The sequence below is a fragment of the Homo sapiens genome, chromosome 6 (assembly GCF_000001405.40).
Source record: "Homo sapiens chromosome 6, GRCh38.p14 Primary Assembly".
Taxonomy (NCBI): Eukaryota; Metazoa; Chordata; class Mammalia; order Primates; family Hominidae; genus Homo; species Homo sapiens.
In genome coordinates, this window is record NC_000006.12 from 85,449,541 (window position 1) to 85,476,091 (window position 26,551).

Here is a 26,551-nt window from a genome sequence, read left to right on the forward strand (position 1 = left end):
ACAGCCCGAAACTGCAAGGAGCTCCTCTGCCCGGCCTCTCTTTACTCCTCCTCTCTGCCCCTCAGCTCGCTCATCTTTCTTCCCGCCCCCTCTCTTTTCCTTCTTTGGTTCTTTGAAGTGATGAGCTAGCGCAACCACAAACCATACATTCCTTTTGTAGAAAAACCCGTGCCTCGAATGAGGCGAGACTCAGAGAGGACCCAGGCGCGGGGCGGACCCCTCCAATTCCTTCCTCGCGCCCCCGAAAGAGCGGCGCACCAGCAGCCGAACTGCCGGCGCCCAGGCTCCCTGGTCCGGCCGGGATGCGGCCGGTACCCGCTCCCCGCCGGGAACAACCTCTCCACTCTTCCTGCAGGGAGCTGGTGCCAGCCGACAGCCGCGCCAGGGCCGCTCCGGGTACCAGGGTCGGATCGGGTGACGTCGCGAACTTGCGCCTGGCCGCCAAGCCGGCCTCCAGGCTGAAGAAGGACCCGCCCCGGCCTTGACCCGGGCCCCGCCCCTCCAGCCGGGGCACCGAGCCCCGGCCCTAGCTGCTCGCCCCTACTCGCCGGCACTCGCCCGGCTCGCCCGCTTTCGCACCCAGTTCACGCGCCACAGCTATGTGTCCCCGAGCCGCGCGGGCGCCCGCGACGCTACTCCTCGCCCTGGGCGCGGTGCTGTGGCCTGCGGCTGGCGCCTGGGAGCTTACGATTTTGCACACCAACGACGTGCACAGCCGGCTGGAGCAGACCAGCGAGGACTCCAGCAAGTGCGTCAACGCCAGCCGCTGCATGGGTGGCGTGGCTCGGCTCTTCACCAAGGTTCAGCAGATCCGCCGCGCCGAACCCAACGTGCTGCTGCTGGACGCCGGCGACCAGTACCAGGGCACTATCTGGTTCACCGTGTACAAGGGCGCCGAGGTGGCGCACTTCATGAACGCCCTGCGCTACGATGCCATGGTAAGACCCGAGCCCGCGCCCGGGATAGTAGTCCCGGACTGAGAGAGGAGCCGGGCTGGAAAAGCAGCGGATGGCAGAGTGTGGCAAGCCTAGGTCCAGGGCGCGGAGAGATGTGGGGATAAAGTGAGACTCCGGCCAGTGTGCCAGCTGGATGCATAGAAGTCCCTTGGACGATTCGTCTTAAACGGACGTTATTGCGCCCCCACTATGAGATGGGAGTATTTAGAGGAGCAGGACCCAGTCCTGCCTGCGAGGGGCTTAAGGTGGGGTGCGTAGAAGCACTGACAGTTATCCAGAGCTAGGGACTGAATCGGATCCCTCACGCAGCTCTCATTTACTGCTAGATCTTTCAAAGAATGCTTTATCTCAATCTAGATCTTTCGAAAAATGCTTTATCTCAATCTTATTGAAAGGGAAACCGCGTCGAAGAAGCTGAATAAATTAACAGGCACCATCCCCGCAAAAAGGGAGACGTGATAAGAATGGACACCAGATCTCTTTGACCCCGGAGCTTGAGAGTAATTAAGCTCACAGCTTTGGGGTAGATTCTCTGTTCAATTACCTTCTATGTGACCTTGAGCAAGTTATTTACTCTTTCTTGCCTCAGTTCTATCCTGTATAAAAATAAGGATTATAATTGTACATAGTGCACATAGTGTGGTCTCTATATTATTACCAGACACATAGTGTGGTGTCTATATATGTTGTTATTACCAGACACTATAATATAGGGTTAAGAAAAGGAAAGAAAGAAAGAAAGAGAAAGAAAGAAAGAAACTTCAGAGAGAGCCAAAATGTGGAAAGACTTGGGTTTCAAAGGATTTCAATAAAGTAGGTTTGGCGGCAGAGATTTAGGAAGAGTCCAACTTAAGAGATAATGGGCTCTTAAAACATGTGCAAAAGTTTAGTTCAAAGTCCCAAATGTTAGGTTAAAGGTAATGCCTTTTCTATTGCACTAAATTCTAGAAAGGGAGCAGAGGTGGTTGCACAGTAATAAATAAGTACAACCAAGATGTATATATGGTGGTTAAAAAAAAAATAAAACCACCACCCAAATTTAACCCTGTGTAAAAGCCTTGAGTAAAGGGATTCAGCAAGACTGTGGAGAAACTTGGGAGAAGAAAAAAGAGCTTTGGAAGAGGAAGAACTGAGAAATCTCCAGAGAAACGTCCAGAGAAATCTGTGAAGTCCACAAGTGTGGAAGGGAAAGGGAAGTGTGATTAGGCTGGGATACAGAAGGCTAACAGTACACTTTATATGAGAAGAGCTTAGAGGTCAGGAGAGCACAATGCTGAGGGGTTTGTTTGGTTTTATTTTCCCCTCTGGAAACTTGGAGAAAGGAGGACAGGAAAAGATGATAAGAGGGCACCATTGTTTGGTTTTAAAGGTCCCTCCCCAACCCCCCACAACAAGAAAGCTCATTTTAATGAGATGAGAGAAGGGGAGAAAGCTCCCTCCGTTCTGATGCTTTTGAGCTTATCAGGGACACCCTGCAGCAGAAATTCCAGCTGATCCTTCAGCCTTCAGAGTTGATGAGGTGGGGCTCACACACATCTGGATTTGAAGAAGAATCGTGGGTTTCAAGAACTCTGTGGTCTCTTAAGCATTGGTATTCCACAGCTACACTTCCCTGATACTTTGCACTCAGTAATGACAAAATAAATATTTGTAGAATTGAGTTGTTGCTACCCTGTGTCTCCACTTCCTCCCAGAAGGGTAGAATAAACTTACATGTGTTTGTTTTATTTTGCATATAAACCACGACTTTGTAAACTTTACTTTTTGTGACACTCTTTTCTCCACAATTGTGTGAACCCTTTTTAGTGGAAAAATAAGAATGAAGAATTCCTAGTTTTCCCTAATAATATTTCCCTCTTGTAAGTCTAGTTGAGCTCCTGGTGTTAATCATGGTATCAAATGTTTATGACAGGACATCTAGGTGAGGCCTGAGTAAACTGCTGTAAGTTACAGCCTATCTCTTCTGTGTTTGTTCAGAATCCTTTTTGTTGGATGAAATTACTTTCTTTCAAATTTTGCTCAAGAAAATTGAATTGGGTTCTGAGGAAAAATAGGCTACTTACGTAATGTTGGCAGGGGGTAAAGATTGGGAGCGGATCACATGGCAAGGTTAGATGGCTGTGTCCTCAGGACTTACTCTGTGCAGTTTGGGGGTGTGTCAAACATGATTTGACGTGCATAAAATCCCAGTTCTGTAGTGCTAAAGCATGTGCTAAAGCTCTGCTGTACTCCAGTATTGCACAGATGTTTCACTGTCAATTGTTTATATTATACTAACCCTCAGAGAATTTATTGCTGTTGTGGTATAAACGTTCCTCCACTGTAACCACTCACCGCATATTGATTCCTAGGACACTGGGGATTCAAATCAGGGTGGAAAACAGTTGTGGAGGGGCATCTCCAGTTTCCTGGAGACTGGACCTAGTTCAAAGGAGCCACATAAAAGGACTGAAGCATATGGAGGACAAAGAGGAATTTCCTAGAATCCAGCTAAAACACAGGAGTCCCCTCGAGCAGGAACTTCCAAGGAGGTGTACACTTTCTAGACCTACTGGAGTAATCCTGATTGCTGTAGAGGACCCAGGGCAATCCTGGAGACCCCCTGGAACCACTACTAGGCAGAAAACTGGGAAGAGGATGGCAAAACTCTCCAGTTAGTGTAGCTGTCTCAGTGGAAGGACTGTTGTCCCCTGAGGCACGAGGAAGACAGCATGGAAGCACTGACAGTATGCGCTTGGCCTGGTTACTTTCTCTGAGCTTCATGTTCCTTAGCTGTAAAACAGGAGTGATAACCCCCATCTTGCAGAGGTTTTGTGAGGAATACATGAGATAATCCCTGCTGGTGCTCACTGAAAGTGAGTTTCATGTGCCCTGGGTGGGGAGGAGGGGAATTGTGAGGAAGGGAAGGTTTGGGTTGTGCATCAGATTATCTGATTCTCACAGCCTGGCACAGTCTACCACCTGCCTGCCCTCTACCATCTTACCTAAGTACCATTGCCTAAACTATTTTTGCTATAGTTACTCATTGAGCAGACTTATGAAATCTCCCCACAGCACAAAACTGAAGGTATCCACCTCCAGAGGTGAGATTCTCACCAAGACAGGCTGTGGGGAAGGTAGCTTTGAGCAGGTCTCTAGGGTCCCCTAGAAAGGTGCCTTTTCTCTGCTTGGCTGCTGCTTCTGAGGCCCTGGCTGCTGAGCCCACTTCCTGCCCATAAGGCTGCAGCCTTAGCCCTAGCCAATTGCTCCTAAATGGGGGAGGCAGCAGCCAGGGTGGGAACCATGGCCCCCGCCTTTAACTCACCCAGGGGACAGGTTAGTCAGATAGATGGTCCTTTGTTCGCCACCCTCCACCTCCCACATAGACAACATTCTAATGTGTTTGATGGACTGCATATAGTTTTGTTTCTACATGCACTTTCAAAACCTTTGTGTGCTTATATTTTATAATGGCATACCCAGTCCTGTTATTTAGCCCTTTCTGTTTCTTACTTTTGTCCTGAACTTATTGTTTTTATGATTTGTCCATGTTGCCCTAGATGCCCTTATACCTATACATCACTGTGAATTGTGCTCTGTGTATTTTACCCATCTCCACGTATTTTACCCATCTGCTCCCTGGCTGATGGGTTTGGAGATGGCGTCTAACACCCTGCCTCCACAAATAATGCTGCTCCAGATATCTTCCTGGATGGTCTCACCAGATGATTTCTACCCAGGAGCAGAATTGCTGGCCACAGGGCATACTTTGAGTACTACAAGACTGGTTTCCTCAATGACTGACATCCTCCATTCTCTTCCACCTACTCCCATCCCCAAACAGGACATGTAAATTTCTATATTTTACCTATATATCATGGCAGTATCCAGCTTTATTGTAGGTGTAAAATACACATTGCTGCTTTATCATGTACTTTTCTAATAACTAGTGAGTTTGGACATTTTTTGATATGTTTGTTAACTTTTTAAGCTTCCTCTTCTCTAATTGCTTATTCATATTCTTTGGTATTTTTTAAATTGGGTTAGCTTTATATTTTTTGACTTTCAGGAGTTATAGGTTTTGATCTGTGATCAATTTTAGACATTGCAAATATATTATGATGATATTAGGTCTATTAATTTTGTCCATGGTATCTTTCATTGAACAGAAATTCTTCATTTCTTGTAATTGAATTAATCTTTTTTTCCTTGTGGCTTGTGCTTTTGAAAGTTTGCCTAATAGTTTGCTAATTTAAAGCTTATCACCTTTAACACTCCTCACTGGAAATTCAGAGATCACCACGGTTCTCTCTGCCTTTTAAGAGATAAATCTACAATCTGTGGCTATGCAATTCACTTCTCAGCATCACCAGTTCCTCATCTATAAAATAGAAGTTTGAACCAGCTTACCTCTGAGGTCCCATACATATTTGAACAACTGGAGCCCTACAGTGAAATGTTTTGATTCAGTGAAGGGACAGGAGGATGGGGCAAAGGTGTAGAGGCAGGAATCTACACAATGGACCAGGTTGGACCAGAGTGAGGTAGCAGGAATCATGGCAGAAGAGGTTGTGTAAACTCTAAAGGCCACCTGAGAAGTTTGAGTTATGTTGCCATGGGCAGCCATGTGGTTTCTGCGTAGAAGACCACTGTGGTATAATAAAAAATAAATATTTGGTCCTTGTCCCCAGTACCTGTCACAGAGTTCCTAAAACCCTAGAAATTTCCTAAGTAATAGAAATGTCCTTTGTGATTCATAATAAACCCCATGATAATACCTGGGTTTATGCTCCTGCAGACTTAGGGTGAGATCCCTAGATAGCTTCAAGATGGAACCAGTCACCAGCAAGTCCAAGAGATTAGGGGATCAAAGAGTTGGAACTTTCGGTACCACCCACCAAAGTCCAGGAAAGGAGGGTGGGACTGGAGATTCAGCTCTACAAAAACTCTTGAACAAGATGTGAGGAGCTTTTTAGTTGCTGAGCATTTGGAGGTTCCTGGAGGGTGCACACCCAGGTAGGGCATGAAAGCTCCGCATTGCCCCCATATCTTGGCCTATCCATTCTTCACTTGGCTGTTCATCTATATCCTTTGTATAGCCTTTATAATAAACCAATGAGTGAGTTCTGTAAGCTGTCCTAGCAAGTTAATTGAAGCCAAGGAGGAAGTAATGGAAACCCCTGATTTATAGCCATTCAGCCAGAAGCACAACCTCAGGCTTGTGATCAGCCTGAAGTCAGGGCAGTCTTGTAGGATTGAGCCCTTAACCTATGGGATCTGACAATGTCTTGAGATAGTATCAGAATTGAATTCAATTATAGGACACTCAGTTTGTGTTTTCTGGAGTACTGTTTGGTGTCTGGGGGAAATCCCACACACATCTGGTCACAGAAGTATTCTGTGTTCAGTGTGACAGTAGAAAAAGCAGTTTGTGTGTATGTGTGTGTTTGTGCTTTTGTATGCTAATGAGATGATCTATGGCTGGGGGCCCTTAGATAGCTTCGGGAAGGGGGCTGGTCGCCAGAAAGACTAATTTATGACTAGAGGGTTAGAACTTTCAGCCCTACCTCTCCCACTTCTAGAGGGTAGATGGGCTACAGATTGAGTTCGGTCTCCAACAGCCAGTGAATTAATCAATCATGCCTTCACGATAAACCTTCATGAAGACCCCTAAACAACCAGATTCAGAGAGCTTCCAAGTTGGTGAACATATTGAGGTGCTGGGAAGGTGGTGCACATGGAGTGGGCATGGAAGCTTTGCCCATCCACTCCCATGCCTTGCCCTGTGCATCTCTTCACTTGCTTGTTCCCTAGTCGTATGCTTTATAATAAGCCAGTAAAGTGCTTTCCAAGTTCTGTGACTCGTTCTAGCCAATTATCAATCCCAAGGATAGGGTCATGGGAACCTCCAATTTATAACTAGTTGGTTGGGAATACAGGTGGCCCAGGACTCTCGACTGGTGTCTGAAGTGGGGGCAGTCTTGTGCATTTGAGCCTTCTCACTTGTGGGATCTGATGCTAAGTCCAGGTAGAGAATGTCAGAATGCATCTGAATTGTTGGACACCAAGTTGGTGTCCACACAGAATTGGGGAATTGGTTGATGTGAGGAAAAACCCTCCCAGCTACATAGGGAAATCACGGTTTTGGAAGATGAGCAGAAAAGGGTGGGAGGGAGAAGACAAGAGAGAAGAGGGTGAGGAAAGAGGCCAGGCAGCAGTCCAAGTGTGAGATGATAACACCTGAACTCTGGTAATTGAGGAGACCAAATCCACGGGAACCAGCTGCAAAAGGCATTCTGTCTGGTAGGTATAGGGCTAAGGGAGTAAACGTGGGGGTGAGACTGGGATCAAGTCCCCTTCCTACCACTTAGAATCTGTGGACTGGGAGCAGGTTATTTAATCTCATGAAACCTCCATTTCCACATGTGTGAGGTATGTGATTGTTGTCTCCACCCCTAGGGTGCTGTGGGGTTTACAAGAGATAGTAGTGCACATAATGTGCTTAGCACAGGGCCAGCCCCTAGTAAGTGCCGGCTGTACTTGCCTTCTCTTTGCAGGGGTGGCTCAGGAGAGGGTGTAATCAAAAGATGATTATGAGGGTTCAAGCACCAGGCAATGGGAGAGTCAGCAGGTTTTAATGCTTCCACACAGAGGCTGGATTCTTCTACTTCCGCTTACCGCTGACAGCTGAGGCCTGCTACCTCAAGCCCTGAAATGCAGTCTGAAGACTTTTCCTGGACTTACTGGGCACCATTGGACTGTACAGGGCTGTGGCAGACAGGAGCAGTGGAAAGAGATTTGGATGGGACGTCAGAACACCCAGATTTTACTTCTTGGCTCTTCCACTTACTAGCTGTGTGAATTTGGCAGTGGTTTCCTTATCTATAAAATGGGGGAATTGGAGAGGGTGGTCTACTGCATGTTACTTCTCAGCACCTCAGCTCCTCCCCACCCCTCTCTCTTGCTTCTAATCTGCCTACATCACTTGGTTTGTCTCTGGACAAGTCTAAGTTTGCATGACAACTCTCTAATTTCTCCTTCACAGTTATTTATTTATTTTTTGGCAGCTATTTCCTTGTGGAGAGATAGCGTAGGTCTTTCAGGTGCTTCCATTTGGCCACTGTTTGCAGGTGAAGAGGTTTCCAGGATGCTCGCGGGATGTTACTCTGGTAGTAACAGAAATGATGGCCTGGGGAATGGGAAGAGTATGAGCCCAGTTTTGAGCCTGAGTCTTTGGGGCTCATTTATTCATTCAATCTGCAAATCTTCATTCAGCATTACTACATGCCAGGCTCTCTGCTAAGTGCTGAGGATAGCGATCAGGACCTGCTAGGGTGAAAATTACTCTTCAGAAGATAGCAGAGTGGATAATGGCCATTCGAGTTCCTCTTAACTACACAGAGGGACTGGGTAAGATCTATAAAGGAGAGAGGTTAAACAGCAAAGCAAAAGTGACTGAAATTCTAACACCCATGCATGGGGATTCTTGAGCTAAAGATCTGGTCTGTAGAAGAAGACACATCAGACCCTCATATTTAGCATCTAAGCCGAAATCAGCAGTAAGCATGTTTCTTCTCCCATAAAAACTTGTCCCTAAGAAGAGAGACAAGTGCTTACAAGGACTCTTATGTTAAAGGAAACTGTCACAATTACTTTATCTTCAGTCATGAAGCCTTTCTTGAGGAAAGAAAAATTAGCAATACTAGTTTGGGAAGCTTGAAAGAGAGATTCTGTTTGCAATGACACTTTTAAAAAGGCAACAACAACCAAAAAAGTAATTATTCCTAAAGCTCAGGTGTCAGAAGTTGTGAATGTCTAGGGGGTTGTGGATCCCCAACCTCAGAGACAGGAACAGCACCACTCCCATCCTGGGGCTGTGGCCTCAGGCCTCTGCTTCCTCTTTTTCAGTCTAAATTCCAGAGCAGAGAGGTGCTGGATGACCAGCTTCAGGCAGGGGAGGGAGGAAGTAAAGGTAGTTTCTCAGCTCATCTTGTCCTCGTACTATTAATAGCATCTGTTGTTTTCTTAACTGAAAATTGGAGAGAACCAAACAAATCAACATCATATTGGCGGCTTTCTGCACATCACTCACAAATACATCTGAATGCTCTGTACTCTCCAGTGTTTATTTTCCTCAGCCACATAATCGGAATTTGAACATTCTTTTGACACTTCTTTTCCCTCACTTGAATAATTAGTTCTATATATAATCCAAATATTAGCTGGAGCCCTCTAGCCCCTCAGAGATATAGTTGAACCTTCCTGGACCTCAATTAGTTGGGCAGTTAATTCTGAATGTTGATGTGCCTATTTTGCACGTATGGAGAGTTTGTACGTCCCCCCTCCCCAAACAAGTAGAATGCTGTCTATTTGGTACTTGCTCATTCATACATTCTTTCAACAACCAAACCCAGTTGCAGCTGGGTTGAACCCCAGGGTGTTTCCTGCTATTCAGTGTGATGCCACATTCACCTGCTGTGGCCAACATTCCTTGGCCCAGGACTGCAGGGATGGAAGCCAACCCAACATCAGAAGTGGGCAACAATGCCAGAAACCTATCAACCAAAACAAATGTAATTTGTAATCCTCCCTGGATGATGTTGAGTGATTGGCAACTGAGCCCCGTCATATAGTAAATCAGGCTGTCTCTCTTTAAAAAAGAGAGACAGAGAGAGAGAGAGTCTCCCAATGTTGCCTAGGCTGGTCTCAAACTCCTGGGCTCAAGCAATCATCCCTTCTTGCCTCCCAAAATGCTGGGATTACAGGCATGAGCCACCATGCCCAGCCTAGGCTGTCTCTTTAGCTCTTCAATTATAGGGCTTCCTGCAACCTCAGCCCTTAACGAATGAGCTAGCGTGTAAGTGACTAGCTAAATAAATGTGCTGCAAACCTCTGACAAATGGCTTTTTGACATTATTAAAATTTATTTATGTGGAACAAAAAAATTCTTTTCTTCTGCATCATGCATCCTACACTGCTTTTAAAGAAACTCTGCTATCCTTTGTTTTACCGTCTAACATTTCTTTGTTTCCCTTCTGACATGTTTCAGCCTCTTGTCATCACTTGGAACATTTTTACTGCCTCATCCCTCTAGTTTCCATTTCCTAGCCTAGCCCAGCCCAGTATTTTTGAAACCCAAATACCTGGAATTTTGCCTGATGTTTAAAGCCAAAACCAAATGAAAATGTGAAGAACCAAAGGAGATTTTATTCTTCTGTGACTCAAAATCCTGTTGTTATTGTTAAATGAACCCTGTGGGATACAGTCTGGTATTTTTAACACCTTCTGGGGGTATTTGTCAATATTTACATTTGATGTGGATAGCTTATAAAAGTCCAGTGGCTTTGGGTAAACCCTGTTCACTAAGAATAAGACCCAGAAGGTCATATGAATCAACGATCAAAGAATGAAGATATTCTGAATCCAAGTTTCTTGTTTTGATTATTAAAAATACCTTGCAATTAGTTAGGCATGAGAGAAAGCTTGTGTATAAAGTTTGGCTTGTAATTCACATGAATTCTCTATACAGGCCAAAAACTACCTTCCCTTTGGGAATATACAATGACCTTATTTGGAAATTACTTCAGGTAATTATGAAGTAATAATATCTCTATTCATATGCTAAAAAGAATTCAAAATAACATTCAATTATCATCTCTTAGAAACTAAATTAAACGGGTACTCACCCAAGTTGAAATGCAAACAAATGCATGATATCATTATGTGACCCTCCCCTAGCCCTTACCCTGTCCATGGCAGATGCTAAGAAAAACTTGTCCCTAAGAAGAGAGAAGTCAATTGATTTAGTCAGCCTTTCCCACTGTGTTTGGACTGAGCCTCAGAACCCTCCTTATCCCCATACTGCAAGGAGTTACTGTCAATCAACTAGAGATGGCGCTCAAGATAAAATTATTTTCCATCCTGTACTAATATAATAATAAGCATGGAATCTATTTATTGGTTTTTTCACAACAATAAAATATATCTTTAGCAAGTAACAAATGGTAGAGGTAATACTTTTAGATAAAGAGGGAAGAATCCTTCTGACTTTTCTCTTTATCACATTTTACCCACACACAATGTGGATGGAATCTGCAACTGAATTTAGCAGTCACACTGAAACTCTGCTGCATGACCACACTGTCCTGAGGCCATGTGCCAACTTCTATGTTTTTTTTTCCCAAAGCTCTTCCAAGGAAGAGCTGCCACTTCTCCATTTACTCTTTTCACCTGTAAATGAATGCTGCCGTTGGTATTGAGAAAATGGGTGAATGAAAGAAATCATGAGAACACTCCTGGGGTGAGAGCAAGAGGAATGAAAACACGTGGTGTGAGAGCAGGTCAGAGATGGTGGTTAACACAGGAACCAGGATGGAGGCCTCAGACTTGACCCTGGCCTGCAGGACGTTGGCCTGCATTGTCTGCAGGAGGAAACACAGAGGTCAGTGGATATCCTGCGGTCTTCCATTAAGGCCTCTTACTATTCTGGAACATTTTATTTTTATAGAGAAATCTCCCACTTCCTGATCTCCCCAGTTAGAATTGATTGATCAAAGCAGTCCCTCTCCCTGTTATTAAATAATTAAATAATATGCATTAGTTGATCCCTATAACCACTTAAAATGTATCTAACACAGGAGAAATCTTTGGTAAATATTTACTGAATGAATGAACAAATAAATAATTGGAGGGAGGGAGAAAGAGACAGAGTTAAATCCTGAGGCTGGAGTTTTTGGTCCTTCAGCCCCTTATCCCATTGCCCCTGGCAGCCCCATCCATGTGACCTTGAATTCTGTCCAAGTCTCATCACTTTCTATGTGTGTTGTAATGGAAAAAAGGTTACAAAACACAGTCTTTCTGGCCTGGAGTACCAAAATAGTAAAGACTTCTGTTTTGAAAGCCTCTGACAAATGAACACAACAGCCACAGTGATAACTTTAGCAGGAAATTGAACCACAAAAAGCAAGCGAGCCACAAAGCCCTGAAGGCTAAAAATGCCTCACAGGCCAAGAGGCAGTTAGGTTGCACCTGAGACAGAGGCTGCTTTCTTAACTGGGAAATGGGTGTCTCCAGATATATAAAGCTGTGAGGAGATCACCATGGCCCAGCTCTGACGAGCCACTGGTACAGCATTGTTGGTTAGTTTGCCTCAACCTGCAGCAGAGTTTTTATTCCAAGAGTTAACAGTTAGTTAGGCTTTTTCCAAAGGTTGAGATGACACCCCAACTCCCACACCCATTTCCGTCCTGCCCCAGCTTGAAACCAGGCAAAGTGAGTTAAGACATTGGGAGATGGGAGGGGACAGGAGGGGTAGAGGCCTGGCACCCCTCTCTCTTCTGTTTCAAGAGACACTTTGTGGAGTTGTCTAGAGAGACTGGGGGTAACTGCTCCTTCTGCCCCCAATCTCCCCTTAGCTCCCCACTCCTCCCTATCCTGCCAGGCCAACCACCAGCAGAGAAGGGCGCTTAGCTCCAGTGACGCTGTGAGTGAGGTACTTGTGAGGATGCATATGGTTCCTGTTGGAAATGCACGGAGGAGCAGTGAAACACCAGAAGCCCCATCCTCTCTCCTGCCCGTGCCCTCATGCCCAGCCAGCTGAATATTCCTGTGGCTTCCACTCCTGCACTGTCCCCTCAGTGTCACCTCCCCACCACATTCCCACAGCCCCACTTGCTGTGTCACCTCTCCCCTGAGGGAGAGGTGTCTTCCTGCCAGTCTCTTCACCACCAGGCTCACACAACTCCCATCCATTCACTGCAGGCTGCCAGACTGAGCTTTCCAAGCACCCCCGGACTGCCTCCAGCCCTACTTTCTCTTCAAGGCTTCCCACTTCCCTCAAAATGAAAGCCCTGACTCCTTGGACACCATACAGACCCTCCCTGATCTCCCAGCGATGCTCTTAGCAGCATCATTTTTTTTTCTGCCAGATTTTCAGGTGCCCTCAGTTCCAGGAGCACCAAATCACCTGGATGCCATGAGCTGCTTATGACACAGTTCAAGGTGTGACATCTTTGAGGTCTCTCCATAACACCTCTACTGCAGACGTCTGTCTCTGGTGTATCAGCTGTACCTTGCACACATGTCTCTAACCATCTGTCCACTGTGTCTGTCTGTTCACACATCAGATTGACCCTATGTTCTCTGTGACACCAGGTGAGCTCTGGCACCAGTGCCCAGCAGATGATTACTGAATGATTAATAAAACTACTCACTCCACCTGCTGCTTTTAAATGGGCTCCATTTTGGTATGATTTGGTGCGTGAACCATTAAAACTTTTCAGAAGTCAGGATTTGAAACAAACTTGGTAAAAAGTAGTTAAGCAATGTCTTCGTTGTAAAGTGAGAAACCAAGTTGCTTGGAAACAGGTGAAAAGCTTAGCCAGCAGCTTCACAATTCACAGCCTGGCACTCCAGTAGCCCTCTCTGGACAATTGCCCAGGTTTTCTTGTTTTCATTTCTGTGTTTTAATTTACAAGTTACCTTTATATTTCTACTAATACCTTACTGGCACTTGTTTGTGAATGAAACAATTTTTTTGAGAGTTTGTTAATTGTTCTGTGTGAGTGTGGAAAGTTTCTTTCATATAAGATCATCAATTCTTTTTTTAAAAATAGTGTTTTAGGTTTTCTCCTACATAAAGAAAGTGGTGGGGGTGAGGAGCTGGGGGTGGACCAGATGCTCACATTGTATTTCTATGATTTTGCTGTTGGAGATACTGAAGATCATTTTGCTGGGCTTTGCTCTCTTAAATTACAGAAAAGTGCATTTGGTGAAGTTTAGTGTTTTTAGTAAACATATACAAGATGTCATAGGGATAGAATTAGTGAAGGAATAGGGTTCGTGAATGAATGAGCTCAATCTTAGTAATGAAATGTTTGGAAAGCAACAGAACAAGAGAGAAAGAGCATCAGAACATGATTTAGGTACCCCATACATTTATACAAATAAAAAAAAGATCTGATTTAGGGTCATAGAAATCACATACCTAAACTGATGGTTAAACAATAAGTGGCAAGTAACAGTTTAGCTACAAAAAATGTACAGGAACACATAAGGAAAGTTACATGGGAACTTTCAGAGAGGACCAAAAAAGGTGGAATAAGATTATCTGCTCTGTTATGATCCCCTGTATTTCTCTGCTCTATGTTCTTCTCTTGGGCAGTCTTTTCCTGAGATGTTTTCATGTTATTAATCAAAAATAATAGAAACGAATAAACTAGATCAATGCATTTACAAGATTTTTTGAGTGCCTGCAGTATGCCTCGGTGTGGTGGGAACTTGGTGTACTGAGGTGAGTAGCATGATCCTGAAGAGCTTAGGAATCACTGAGTTCTCGTAAGTGCAATAGAAGAAAAACTGGTAGAAGGAAGTCAAATGAAAATACAAGTTTCTAAAGAAAATAAGTATTTACAAAGGAATTTGTCTGCATTAATTTCTGTGGAAAAGTTAGCTATGTATAGAAGAAAGAAACTTGTTAGTAATTCTTTCATTCATTCATTTATTCATTCAACAGTGAATCCCTGCCATGGTAGTACTAACTACTTGCACTGTGGTAGTGCAAGGGATACATTTGCTGTGCAAGTAGTTAGGAATTTTTTTTTTTTTTTTTTTTTTTTTTAGTGCTTTGTGTATGCTAGGCTTTATGCAAATATACAGCCAAGCACAGAGGTTAAGAACTTTGGAATCAAACCGAAGTGGTTCTAGTCCCAGCTCCCCCTTACAAATTGTGTGATCTTCAACAGTTCATTTAACTTCTCTAGATCTCAGATTTTCTCATCAGTAAAATGAGTGCAGTAAGAGTACCACCCTCACAGCATGAAATCAGATTTTCTGTACTCTTTACTAACTCACTTTCCATGACGCTGGCATGTGGCAAGTGCTGACTCAATACTGGCTCATTTCCTTAACTGCTTTTATTTTATTCATTCACTGCCATTCCAGAGGAAACTGCGGTTCTGAGATGTGCCCTGGGTCACTGCTGAGGAGCGGACGGAGCCTGGGAGGGAGCTACCCCTGCCTTGTTTCCTCACACTTTATGGGGTGGGTGTCAGGAATGAGGCTGGAGGGGAAGGCAAAACCAGATCCCTAAGAGCCCCCTGGACCCTGCTTAGGGTGTTTACTTCTATCATAAAGGCTGTGCTTCTGTAGAGACCTAAGGCAGAGAGTGCCAAGGTCAGGTTTGCATTTGAGAAAAGTTTTTCTGGCAGCAATATAAAGAATAGTTTAGCAAAAGAAATGAGAATAGCTGGAAACCCAGTTAGGAGGCTGTGGTAGTCCAGGAGCACACTAAGGCAGCAACAATAGGTGGATGGAAACTGGAGCATTTAGGTAAGGGAGAGGGATGCCAGAGGACGTGATGGTGAGGGAGAGGGAAGAGGGTGGGACTCCACCGCACCAGGGCTTCTGGCTTTATTGACTGGGTATATGGTGGCATCCTGGGCCAAGACAGTGAGTCACAGGGAAGAGGCTTTGAGCCTGGTAAGCTTGGGACACTTTTGAGACATTGGGAGGAAATGACACATGGCAGTTGACATACAGATCTAGACGTCAGGAGAAAAGTCAGGGCTGGAGATTTTCGGTTTACAGTTGAAGGTATGAGTAGGAATGAGATCATTTACTCAGTCCATCCCACCACATTGAGCACCATGAATAAGGGGCTCCTCTCCCCATGGGGCAAGAGAGGTGAAAAGACAGTCAAAGTCACTACTTTCAGGAGGATTAGGCTCAAGTTAGGATGGGGAGGTGGAGAAGGCATCAAACAAATAAATGAAAACTATAACTTCAGTTATTGCCAAGTGCTAGGAATATAATGTTGCTGTTAAACTGCAAGGTGGCTAACAAGTTGGATAGTCTTTCTTGAAGAACTGTAGAAACATTCATTAAAAACAAAATAATTTTATAGTTAAGCAAGAAAGTGATTGTACTATAACAAGGGAGACTTATTTCACCATAGGAAAAAAATCATAACATTCTAAGAATAGAAGGAAAAAATAACAATTACCCAAGCCTGCAACAACCTGTAAGACCAGATCAGCTTTTAAGAGGAAAGTTAATTAGATAACAGGAAGAGGTAAAAATGAGATCATCAGAGATGGGGGAAAAGGCAAATTTAGAAATTCTGAATTTAATAGGGGAGACAAGTATGTAGGAATATAAACACATTGTGCTTTCTCTGCACAAACACATTCACATGAGGATGTATACACAACCCTTGCAGGCACAGGTACTCAGTGAATGCCTGCGTGCCAAGGAGGGGGACAGCACTGAGCAGGAGAGGTGGCAGGGCCTGGTGGCCCAGGAGCACTCATATAGTCAGGAGACTGATATAAAAGAAAGATCCTGCTAACATGCCATTACAGAGTATGGAATGAGCAAGGAAGGAAGAGGGTGAGGCTGTAAGAGAGTGCACAGGCCCTCATTTAAATGGACGGGTCACCAGCCAGTACTTCATGCCTGTTCCTAGATGACCCACAAAGTGAAACGAAACTGGATGTGGTATTTAGCAAGTCTGAGATTTGCTGGTTTAAGTACTAAGTTAGCAAACCAGCCTTGGCAGCCAGAGCAGGTAGGGTAGGGGGCCCAAGGAGATGGGTGTATCCAGGAGGCCAATGGAGGAAGGAGAGGAAGGTTTTCTGGGAAGCCAGCTGACATGTCATGCTTTGTCAGTGGGGCCTCTGCATGGATTCCCTCCACTCCCCCCCAGCCCCCAACTCACTACGGGGAGCTGCAAAATGACAGACAATGGGTGGTTTTGTACCCAGCAGCCACTCCTCAACCAGTGAGGAATGGGAGAGAGATAAGAAGGTGGGAAACAAGGATTGCTTGTCACCATCCCTGCTCCTCCTGAAGCCCTGCGCTGGGAGCAGGTACAGAACCCGCTGAAGGTCACCTAATCATTTCACCATGGAGTTCTTCCCCAGATGTGAAACTGCTGGGACTGGAGCAAAGGGTGCCCAGAGCTGACTGGAGGAGGAAGCCAGAGCCACACTGGAACATATGGAGATGCTAGCTCCTGCCTGCTATTGAGGAACTTCATTTTCCCAGAAGAATTAGAGGACCACAGGAGTGCTTGGGAAGAAGCAATTGTGGCAACCTAGGTGAATGATGACCTAGGAGGTGAAATGAGGAAGGAGGCCTTTGGTCTCTGCCAACCATACATTTCAGGTTGCCTTTTGCTAAAGTCCTGCTGATGTTAATCATTCTCTCCAGCAGATCGCGGCTTGAATCATGGGGTCTGAAATGTGGGTTTATGAGAGAAAAACAACATGGAAAAATTGGGCAGAGGCTGGTAAATGTGAACATTCAAACCTGCCCCCAATCTGAGATGGTGGGACAGTGGACCCCTGGCCAGCTCTCCAGGTGTTGCGTATGCACATTGGCAAACCACCTTTATTAGGTGGTGTGACACCTGGGTAGCAATTCTCAAGCAATGTGATGATCTGAATGTCCCTGGGCCTGACCCAGGTGAGGAGGACACAAAATCATGCAATATGTCTCATAGAGCTTAGTCAGTTTTGAGAAATACTGGACTAATGTTATGTTTTTAAAGCACCTAATTCTTTTTCTCTTTTCTGTTTTATCTAGGCACTGGGAAATCATGAATTTGATAATGGTGTGGAAGGACTGATCGAGCCACTCCTCAAAGAGGCCAAATTTCCAATTCTGAGTGCAAACATTAAAGCAAAGGGGCCACTAGCATCTCAAATATCAGGACTTTATTTGCCATATAAAGTTCTTCCTGTTGGTGATGAAGTTGTGGGAATCGTTGGATACACTTCCAAAGAAACCCCTTTTCTCTCAAATCCAGGTATTTTCTACTTTTATAGCACTCAATGCTTGAAAATAGATGCCCTAAATCACAGCTTGGCATTATATTTATGGACTGTAGATAAAAGTAGGAACAACTGGGTAAATAGTGCACTAGAATAACACTGATAAAAGCAATCTGGTAAATTCTATGCTGTTGTTCCAAGGTACTTCTTAAAGAGATGTCCTCTTCTGCTCAGTGAACTTCTTTGTTGACAAAAACAGTATCTTTGTCTAATTCAGTGCTTTCAAAATGGGAAGAGGAGACAATGTATAGCCAGTGCTAAACAGTACAGTTTCATTTACTAGAGAATGAGAGCCTCAAAACTCACTGCCCTTCTCCTGTGGAGCCATGAGCACAGAGCCAGAGTTTTACCTCAATTTACCTTATTGCTCCTTTTCTAGGATGATTATTACATGTCCAGCTAACTCACCTTTCTCGCTTTTCATTATTCATCTCGTTTTAATGACATTCTTGTATCTGACTTTCTGGGAAATATATATAGTGGTCTTATGATATATATGGATATATATAAGTGTATGTATATACATTTATAGACATATATACACATATGTATATATAATATATATAATCTTAAGACACACACATACATATATGACACATATACATACATACATATAAGACACACACACATATATAATCTTAAGACCCTTCAAGAAACTATTTTGAGGCACTTTTATAAGAAAACTTTTTGGAATATTTTGGCAATGAGAACAAAAATGACATTTTCTTTAAATTATCCAAATTAAATGTGTTTCCATATTTGAAGAAAAAAAGGGAAAATAGGAGCCAGGGTTATCTAGAAACATGAGTTTTCATTAAGAACTAACTGATAAAGGACATATAATTGACAATTCAAAAATATATATTTACTGTTGTTGTTGTTATAAAATAAATAAGTCCAGGCCATTGGAAACAACAACAGAAAAGTCAGCTGTGTTTGCTGAGAGCAGCAAGCGGGTCCTGCAGCTGGCATAGAGGCAGAGCTGGAGGCAGGGTGGAGCGGCTGGGGCTGGAGTGGTCAGTGAGAAGAGTGAGAGAACTTGCTAAAGAACCCCCCAACCCCACCCTGGGGTCAGGTTTACTTGCTGAAGAACCTCCTTGGTCCCCTTGAGAGCTGTGTAAAACATCCCTGGGGCACAGGACATTCCAGAAGTGAGGTCAGAGTCACAAGCTAGGATGCAGGCTCCATGAGGACAGAAACCTCTGCTGTCTCACTATTGCCCAATGACTGTGCACAGTGCCTGGCATATGATAAGTCCTCAGGAAGCATTGCTGGGATGAATACATGAGAGCAGGAAGGTATAGGGGCCACAGTCACAGAACAGCAGATAGTTCCATTTCCTGGAGCATGGGTTCTGACTAGGAAAAGCTAGAAAGTTGGATCAGGGCTAGATTGTAGGGCTGAGAAGTTCAGGTGTGATTTGGAGGAAAGCATTGTCTCTTCTTTAAAAGGCACCCATAAGGAGGTAGGAGGTGCAGGTCTTGGTGGAAAGGCACAGCAGCTCCAGAAATCAAACTGCCCCAGCTGGGACTCTGACCAGCCCTTTACCAGGCTGTAACAGAGAGGGGATCAAAAGTGACACTGCTGTTTCCAGCAGCTGCTGGAAGAGAGGGCTGCATTTTGCAGGGCCCAGTGTGGGGGGAAAGGGATGGGGTGGAATAGAATGTTTCCAGGAGCACTGCTTCTTCCAAGACTACAGGCCCAGCGGCCTGGTGTGGGTTCTTCCTACAGTTCTTTGACCCTAATCAAGCCCAGTTCTCCCAGTCCTAGTGGCCTGGGCACCCACAGGGTTATAACCTGTATTTCTAGCACATTTAATCTAATTTATTTTAGCTAGATCATTAAATACCTGAAATACAACTCTCCTCATGACATCTTGAAATATAAGCCATGCTTTGTATATATGGGATGCCTGGTCCTGTGAGGTTTCTGATATAATAGAGGAATACATTCCTTTGTCCTCAGAGGCATTTCTCTGAATTTTTTTTCCTTCTTGGCAGCCATACCTTAAGCAAAAGATGGTAGCATACTCTCGACATTTAGTCATTCCCCTGGGTACCTGTCTGTGTGCCAGGCACTGTTTTAGGCACCAGGGATACTGACCAAAAAAAAAAAAGTTGCCCACTGGAGCTTACATATTCAGTGGGGGAATCAATAAATGAGTAAATGGTTTGGTATGTCAGAAGGTGCTAAGGCTGTGGAGAAGAATTAAGCAGGAGGGGAATGGCAAGTGCAGCAGGGGGGAAGGTATACCTTGTTGTTTCAAAGAGATGCTCAAGGAAAGGCTCACATAGAAGGCAACATAGCACTGAGGGTCAACGGGGAGCCCTGGGCTTCTTGGGGCAACCAACAGGAAGCAGATTGTCCTTGATGTTCTCATAATAGACAACAGTGGCAAAACTACAACTCTTGATTTTTCAACATTGCCTATGAGTTACAGACAGCCTTGCCTGTCCAACACATCTGTGAGCTGCTAATTATTAGGTTGTCATTCTGGGGCCTCCCTGGCTATGATGTCAGCCATGAATTATCTTCCATGGTAATTTGCACTTGTGGAGTTGGCTAATGTTAAGGATTCAGGAGTTCCCCTGCTGAAGCACACAGACATTCCTAAACCTCACAGTGGAACAAGGGATGCATTTCTAATAATCTTGTTACTCTTTGGATTAGTACTTTTCAAACTGGAGTTTGCAGACTCCTGCATTTTGAAAGCTTTTAATGAAATGTCATTCTCCCACCCTCCTTCCCTTGTTTAGTGTTAGTTCTTAGAAATCAGTGTAAGAACGTCTGGATCTACTGGAGGACTCCCTAGTCACAGAGTACCAGACATGACTTCAGGGCAGCATGTCTGTATTTGCAGTCATCTTCATGCCAGTGATAGCCATAAAACCTCAAAGCTTCCTCAAATGTGGCTAACAGAGCCAGTTGGAGGAACCAGTTGCCTTGCTGCACACAGAGAACCTGGGTTGCACAGTGAGAGCCATGCTTGACTACTGATAACAAAAGGCTATCGTTTGTTACCACTATGTGCAGTAATAAGCACCCAGGGAAGAATGTACACAATCCCAGTGCCAGCAACATTTAGATGAGGCCCTCATGATTAACACAGAGCTCAATAATGCTCTAATGCTGGCATTATTTATATATTTATATATTTTTTGAGGCAGAGTCTTGCTCTTGTTGCCCAGGCTGGAGTGCAGTGGTATGGTCTCGGCTCATTGCAGCCTCCGCCTGGCAGGTTCAAGACATTCTCCTGCCTCAGCCTTCCAAGTACCTGGCATGTGCCTCCACGCCTGAATAATTTTTGTATTTTTAGTAGAGACAGGGTTTCGCCATTTTGCCTGGGCTGGTCTCAAACTCCTGGCATCAAGTGATCTGCCTGCTGCAGCCTCCCAAAGTACTGAGATTACAAGCGTGAGCCACTGTGCCTGGCCTGCTGGCATTAAAGAGAACATGACAAAGTTATCAACTGCCATATTAAAATAGGCATTCAAGGACTACTTGCTGACAGTTTTAAGTTTGAACACTGATTATCCCAAGTTTCCAACGAACGTCTTGGAGTTGCTAATACTCTTTTGTGTATCATGCTTACGTGCTTAGGCATTTTCTGCATTGGTATTGTGGAAGTTGAGATGTACAAATATATAAAACAATATCTGAAGCCTCCTCACAGTTTGCAACCAAGTTCAAGCAAAACAATATCCACAACCTTAAACTAATACAACATAAAGTGAATGTAATGAGGATATTGATTTGAATTTTTATTTACTTCTTAGGGGTTTTGTATTTAATGAATAAATATGTTTTGGTTTTACTGACTCTTGAGCTTTAGTAAATTAAGGTGTTTAACCTTTGCATGTTAATATGTATATTAAGTAATATAATAAAAATTGTTAATAAATATCCATTTTATTTATTTTGTTCCTTAGGGACAAATTTAGTGTTTGAAGATGAAATCACTGCATTACAACCTGAAGTAGATAAGTTAAAAACTCTAAATGTGAACAAAATTATTGCACTGGGACATTCGGGTTTTGAAATGGATAAACTCATCGCTCAGAAAGTGAGGGGTGTGGACGTCGTGGTGGGAGGACACTCCAACACATTTCTTTACACAGGTAATTGTTTCAAAAGGATTGCATGGGCCAGGATGTCCAGATAAGCACTGTGTCTCTTTTGCCTTTGTAACTGTTATTACTCTTTTTACTGCTATTTAATATGTAATGTATATTATATGATCTATAATATATATGTAATATACATTAAATGGGAACATGTGCAAATCTTACAAACATTACTAAGAATTTATTGATTTCATGATTATAAGTCAATTCCATATATTTATGTATATAATAAATATATAAGACATAAAATATGTATAAAACATATATATACCATACATATGAAAAACAAAAAGACTATTGAGCCCCAACCAAGTCATTTATGATAGATTCTTATCAAAAAGCAACATGTCATATAAAAACTTTAAGCATAAACAAAATAATGTAAATAAGGACCTTTATAACTCAAGGTGGATTTGATTTGTAGGTTGCACAGGTAGCAGAGGCTGGACCTCGAGTGTGAGTCCTAACTCTGCTGCAGACTAGGAATATAAGTATCCTGGAAGCCACATGACCCTGGGTCCTCAGGAGAGCATGCACTCTTCCTACCCACTACCTGACTACCCCCACCACTCTCTTTTTTTCTCTCTCAAATTGGTGTTAAGTAGTTTTCATCAGAATAACTCTTTTATGATTTTTCCACTTTAAACCTATAATGTCCCAAAACTTTTGAATCTGGTTCCACCTTTCCCACTTCCCCCACCTTGCACTGCATAGATCTTTGAAGTATTCCCAAGGAAAGGAAGAAGAGGCTGGTAAACAGTTCTTCTATCAGCATTCGCAAAGAAGGCTTTGGCGTGGGAACAGCCCTCCCCTTGAAGAGGCTCCTGCTTCTACCATCCTTATGTGGGCTGTCAAAGACCATGCTATTTTGATAAAAGCGAAACTCAAAATACCCCAAACAATAAGTAGGAAATACCCAAAAACATTAAAAGGGATTATCACTAAGAAAGTAATTTTTATTTTCTTTCTAGTACTTTGGAGTATTTTCAAATAATGAATGCATGTTACTTTTGCAATCGGAAAGCAAAATATAAATTATAAAAAGGAAAGAAACACAATATTGGGTCAAAAGTCCCCATTCCTAATTCACTTGAATGACTTTGAGCAGGTCACTTAGCACCTCTGAATCTGCTAGCTTAGCTTCAAAATAGGGGATGATCATGCTCAAAGTTCCACGTTACTGTGAAAATTATATGAGATGTAAAAATATGTGAAAGCAGTTTATAAACTATAAATAGCTATATTCTGGTATGCAGCGTCATGGAGGTTGCCTGCTTATAAAAATATGTCAGTCAAAATCATAACTCACAAACTAAAGTTGGCCTTCACTTAAGAAAATACCAGTATGAATGTGTGCTAATTAAATTCCTTCACAGATATTTTACTTCTTGGTAAACACAGGCTAAGGAATAATTTCAAACTGAGTTAAACTGACAGGTTGTGAAATCAATTTATGGGTTATGACCAGTAGTAGGGCTTTTTTTTTTGACAGATAAGACTAAAATAGATTAGGCACTTACATTACTCATAAGAATGATAAATATTGTTCCATGGGAAAAGATGTATATAAGATGTCAAGAACAGCCCCAGGCACATAGCAGACAATCCATAAATGTGATGAGGATGACGACTAGCACTGGACATTGTTAGCATGGATAACATTGCAATCAAAGAGTTTCAACAACTCCATGAGGGTTAAATGAACTAAGAGAGCCAAGACGAGGAAATAATTGGAGCAGGTCACTGGGAAGCACTGGGTAGGGGTGAAGACTCAACAAAGTCCTTCTGACTCTACCACTAATGGTGGGGTCCTTTCAATGCCTGATTACCCTCATCTGTGGAATGAAGGTGATAACAACAGTACCTATTATAAGGGGTCACTGTGATTTAATATGTGTAATGAATGTATAGGTAAATGGCCTTAGCACAGGGCCTAGTATGTTAGCTGTTCTTATTTTAGTTATGTGCTGGCTCACTGGATAAGACCTGTGAAAACCCAAACCTTAGCTTTTCACTGAGGCAGTGTCAGCACCCTTGGACACACAGTGGGAGCTAGATATGTCTCCTCCCCCTTCTTCCTTTAGAATAATGGTTTCAAAAAGTTTAAACTATGACCCGTAGTAAGAAGAACATTTTAGACAGGGAGCCAAAACACACAAACATATATGTGTGTGTGCGTTCACATACGAACATGCAAAAGCACTTGTATGTGCAAACACATACAAGTGAAAGAAAACTTTCACAAAGCACATGGAATGCACCCCAACTTTTCTGTTTTACTGTTTTATTCACTTAATGCCAGCTACCACTCATTGAATTGATTTTCTTGTACTGTAGTTAATCCATGTTTCTAAAAACTCAGCTTTAAATGGGACGTGACCAAAATAATGCATGAACACTCAAAGGAGTTTCATCCCTTCATTCAGATGTGAACATTCCTGTGTTCCCCTTGACTTGTCTTTACACCATCTTAATCAATGCTGTCTTACAGCAACAATTAGTCATTCATAGCCTGTGGTTTGTGTCCATCAGTGAGTGTGCCCTGATAGACCTGAAAAGATTGGGAGACCATGCCCAGCTTCCCATTATTTCTGTAGCCTGTCCTTTGTTCCCATAACAGTACAGTCATGCCTTAGTATCTGTGGGGGATTGGTTCTAGAACTCCCTGTGGATACCAAAATCCATGGATGCTCAAGTCCCTTATATAAATGGTGTAGCATTTGCATATGACCTGTGCACATCCTCGCATATATTTTAAGTCATCTCTAGATTACTTATAATACTTGATACAATGTAAATGATATGTAAATAGTTGTTATACTGTATTGTTTAGGGAGCAAAGACAAGAAAAAATATATGTTCAGTACAGATAAAACCATCCTTTTTTAGAAAATAACTTTTTGTTCATGGCTGGCTGAATCCAACAATGCAAAACCCACAGTTAGAGACAGCCAACTGTATGTGCCTTTGCTAAGTAGATAAATTTAGTTAATGATGAAGGACTGGATGAAAGAAAGATTTGAGGATAAAAATTAGAGTTTGCTTATCTGTAAATCCTGAAGTAAATAATTACAGTCTCTGAGAAAACTGAGATAACTAATACTTAGTCATTTACTTCACATTTCATGATTGCTTACCAAGATTAAACTTGTTCTGATGAAAATCTTCACTTTTCATACTCATCGTTTTGATGAGTGAACTTAACAATTAAAGGTGGCTGGGCACAGCAGCTCATGCCTATAATCCCAGAATTTTGGGAGGCTGAGGCAGAAGAATTGCTTGAGCCCAGGAGTTCGAGACCGGCCTGGGCAAGATAGGGAGACCCCCATATCTACAAAAAAAATTTTTAAAAATTAGCCAAGTGTAGGGGCATATGCCTGTAGTCCCACCTACTCAGGAGGCTGAGGTGGGAGAATTGCTTGAATCGGGGAGGTTGAGGATGCAGTGAGCTATGATCACTCCACTGAACTCCAGTCTGAGTGACAGAGTGAAAACCCTGTCTCAACAACAGCAACAACAGCAAAAACATTAAAGGTAATTCCAGGACACAATAGGGATGAGGCATATTGCCTGTTTAAATAAACTTTCCTGGCCTTAAGAAAACAACTCTGCTGAATAATTTTATGGAATTAGAATGACATTAAAATAATGAATCTGATAAATATGATTAGTTAATAAAAATACAGTTAAAATAATACATCCCTTGGAATTTTAAATCTTACTGAGAACCATTTCTGCACGCACAGTATCCAATATACAAACACACATGGAAGAAAACCTTTCCAAAGCTCGTGGATTGCACCCTCATATTTTCTGTTCTGTTATTTGAGTTTTTAAATGCTGGTTACCACCCATTATATTAATTTTATTGTATTGTAGCTTGCTCATATTTTTTTAAAACTCAGCTTCAAATAAGGCATGACTAAAACAGTGCATGAATGGATCCCTTCCAAATGTTGAAAGTTATTCCAGTTTCTTTCCTTTCCAAGTACCATGCATATGCAGCTAACCCTAGCATTGGCTGACCAGTCTAACATCAGAGTGAAGAGAAGGGAACTTCCCTCTACAAGGCTTACAAAATGATAAAGTTACAAAGATAAGAGCTAAAATGCAAACGCTTTCTCTAAAGAAGTTAAATCCTAGAGTCACGAACTGGTCCATGTTGCTTCCTTTAGAGAAAAAAGTAGTAAAATCAGTGCAGGTTGAAACCTGCAGCAGGTACAACAGGGGACTCTATTCTCTGTGCTGTCCTTGAAGGGACTCCAAAGATGCTGTTTCTCTGTTTGCCTCCCAGTATTTTAAGTGAGTTTTGGATTCTGCAAATCAATCTGGCTAGCTATGGCCTTGGGTGAATATAAGCACCAGTTTCTATAGCCGCAAGTTAAAGGGATTTGAATTGTTAATTCTGTCATCCCTCCCATTCTAACATCCTGTTACCTAGAAAATCATCCATACATAGAGCCTGAAAGCTTACTTTTCAGGATTTGGGGAAATAAAAAAAAATTTGGTAGAATACCTCATACTTTCATTAGGCTACTGATATGAACTTAATTATTCCTCTAACTCCTTTGAGGCTCAGACCTTCTGTCCCCTGTCTTATCACTCTCATCTAATCACCTCCAAGCAATGTCCCACGTCACTGAGAATTTAGTATCCAATT

General features: G+C 43.0%; 1 protein-coding gene across 2 annotated transcripts in view, besides 2 other annotated features; it reads left to right on the forward strand.

Moving 5' to 3' along the window:
• Positions 336-605: a silencer, noted in NCBI's record as "silent region_17366". NCBI's record gives its function as "represses an Ori minimal core promoter by ATAC-STARR-seq in GM12878 lymphoblastoid cells {active_cell/tissue: GM12878}" and the evidence as "EXISTENCE:reporter gene assay evidence [ECO:0000049][PMID:35858748]".
• NT5E (5'-nucleotidase ecto) overlaps positions 543-26,551 on the forward strand; it is a 45,702-nt gene continuing 19,693 nt past the window's right edge. For both annotated transcript variants that reach the window (NM_002526.4, NM_001204813.2), the window contains exons 1-3: positions 543-938; positions 17,520-17,742; positions 21,697-21,885. In NM_002526.4, the coding sequence (NP_002517.1) occupies positions 600-938; positions 17,520-17,742; positions 21,697-21,885 (751 nt within the window). In that variant the 5' untranslated portion in view covers positions 543-599. The remainder of the gene's footprint in view (positions 939-17,519; positions 17,743-21,696; positions 21,886-26,551) is intronic.
• Positions 16,204-16,293: an enhancer, noted in NCBI's record as "active region_24787". NCBI's record gives its function as "activates an Ori minimal core promoter by ATAC-STARR-seq in GM12878 lymphoblastoid cells {active_cell/tissue: GM12878}" and the evidence as "EXISTENCE:reporter gene assay evidence [ECO:0000049][PMID:35858748]".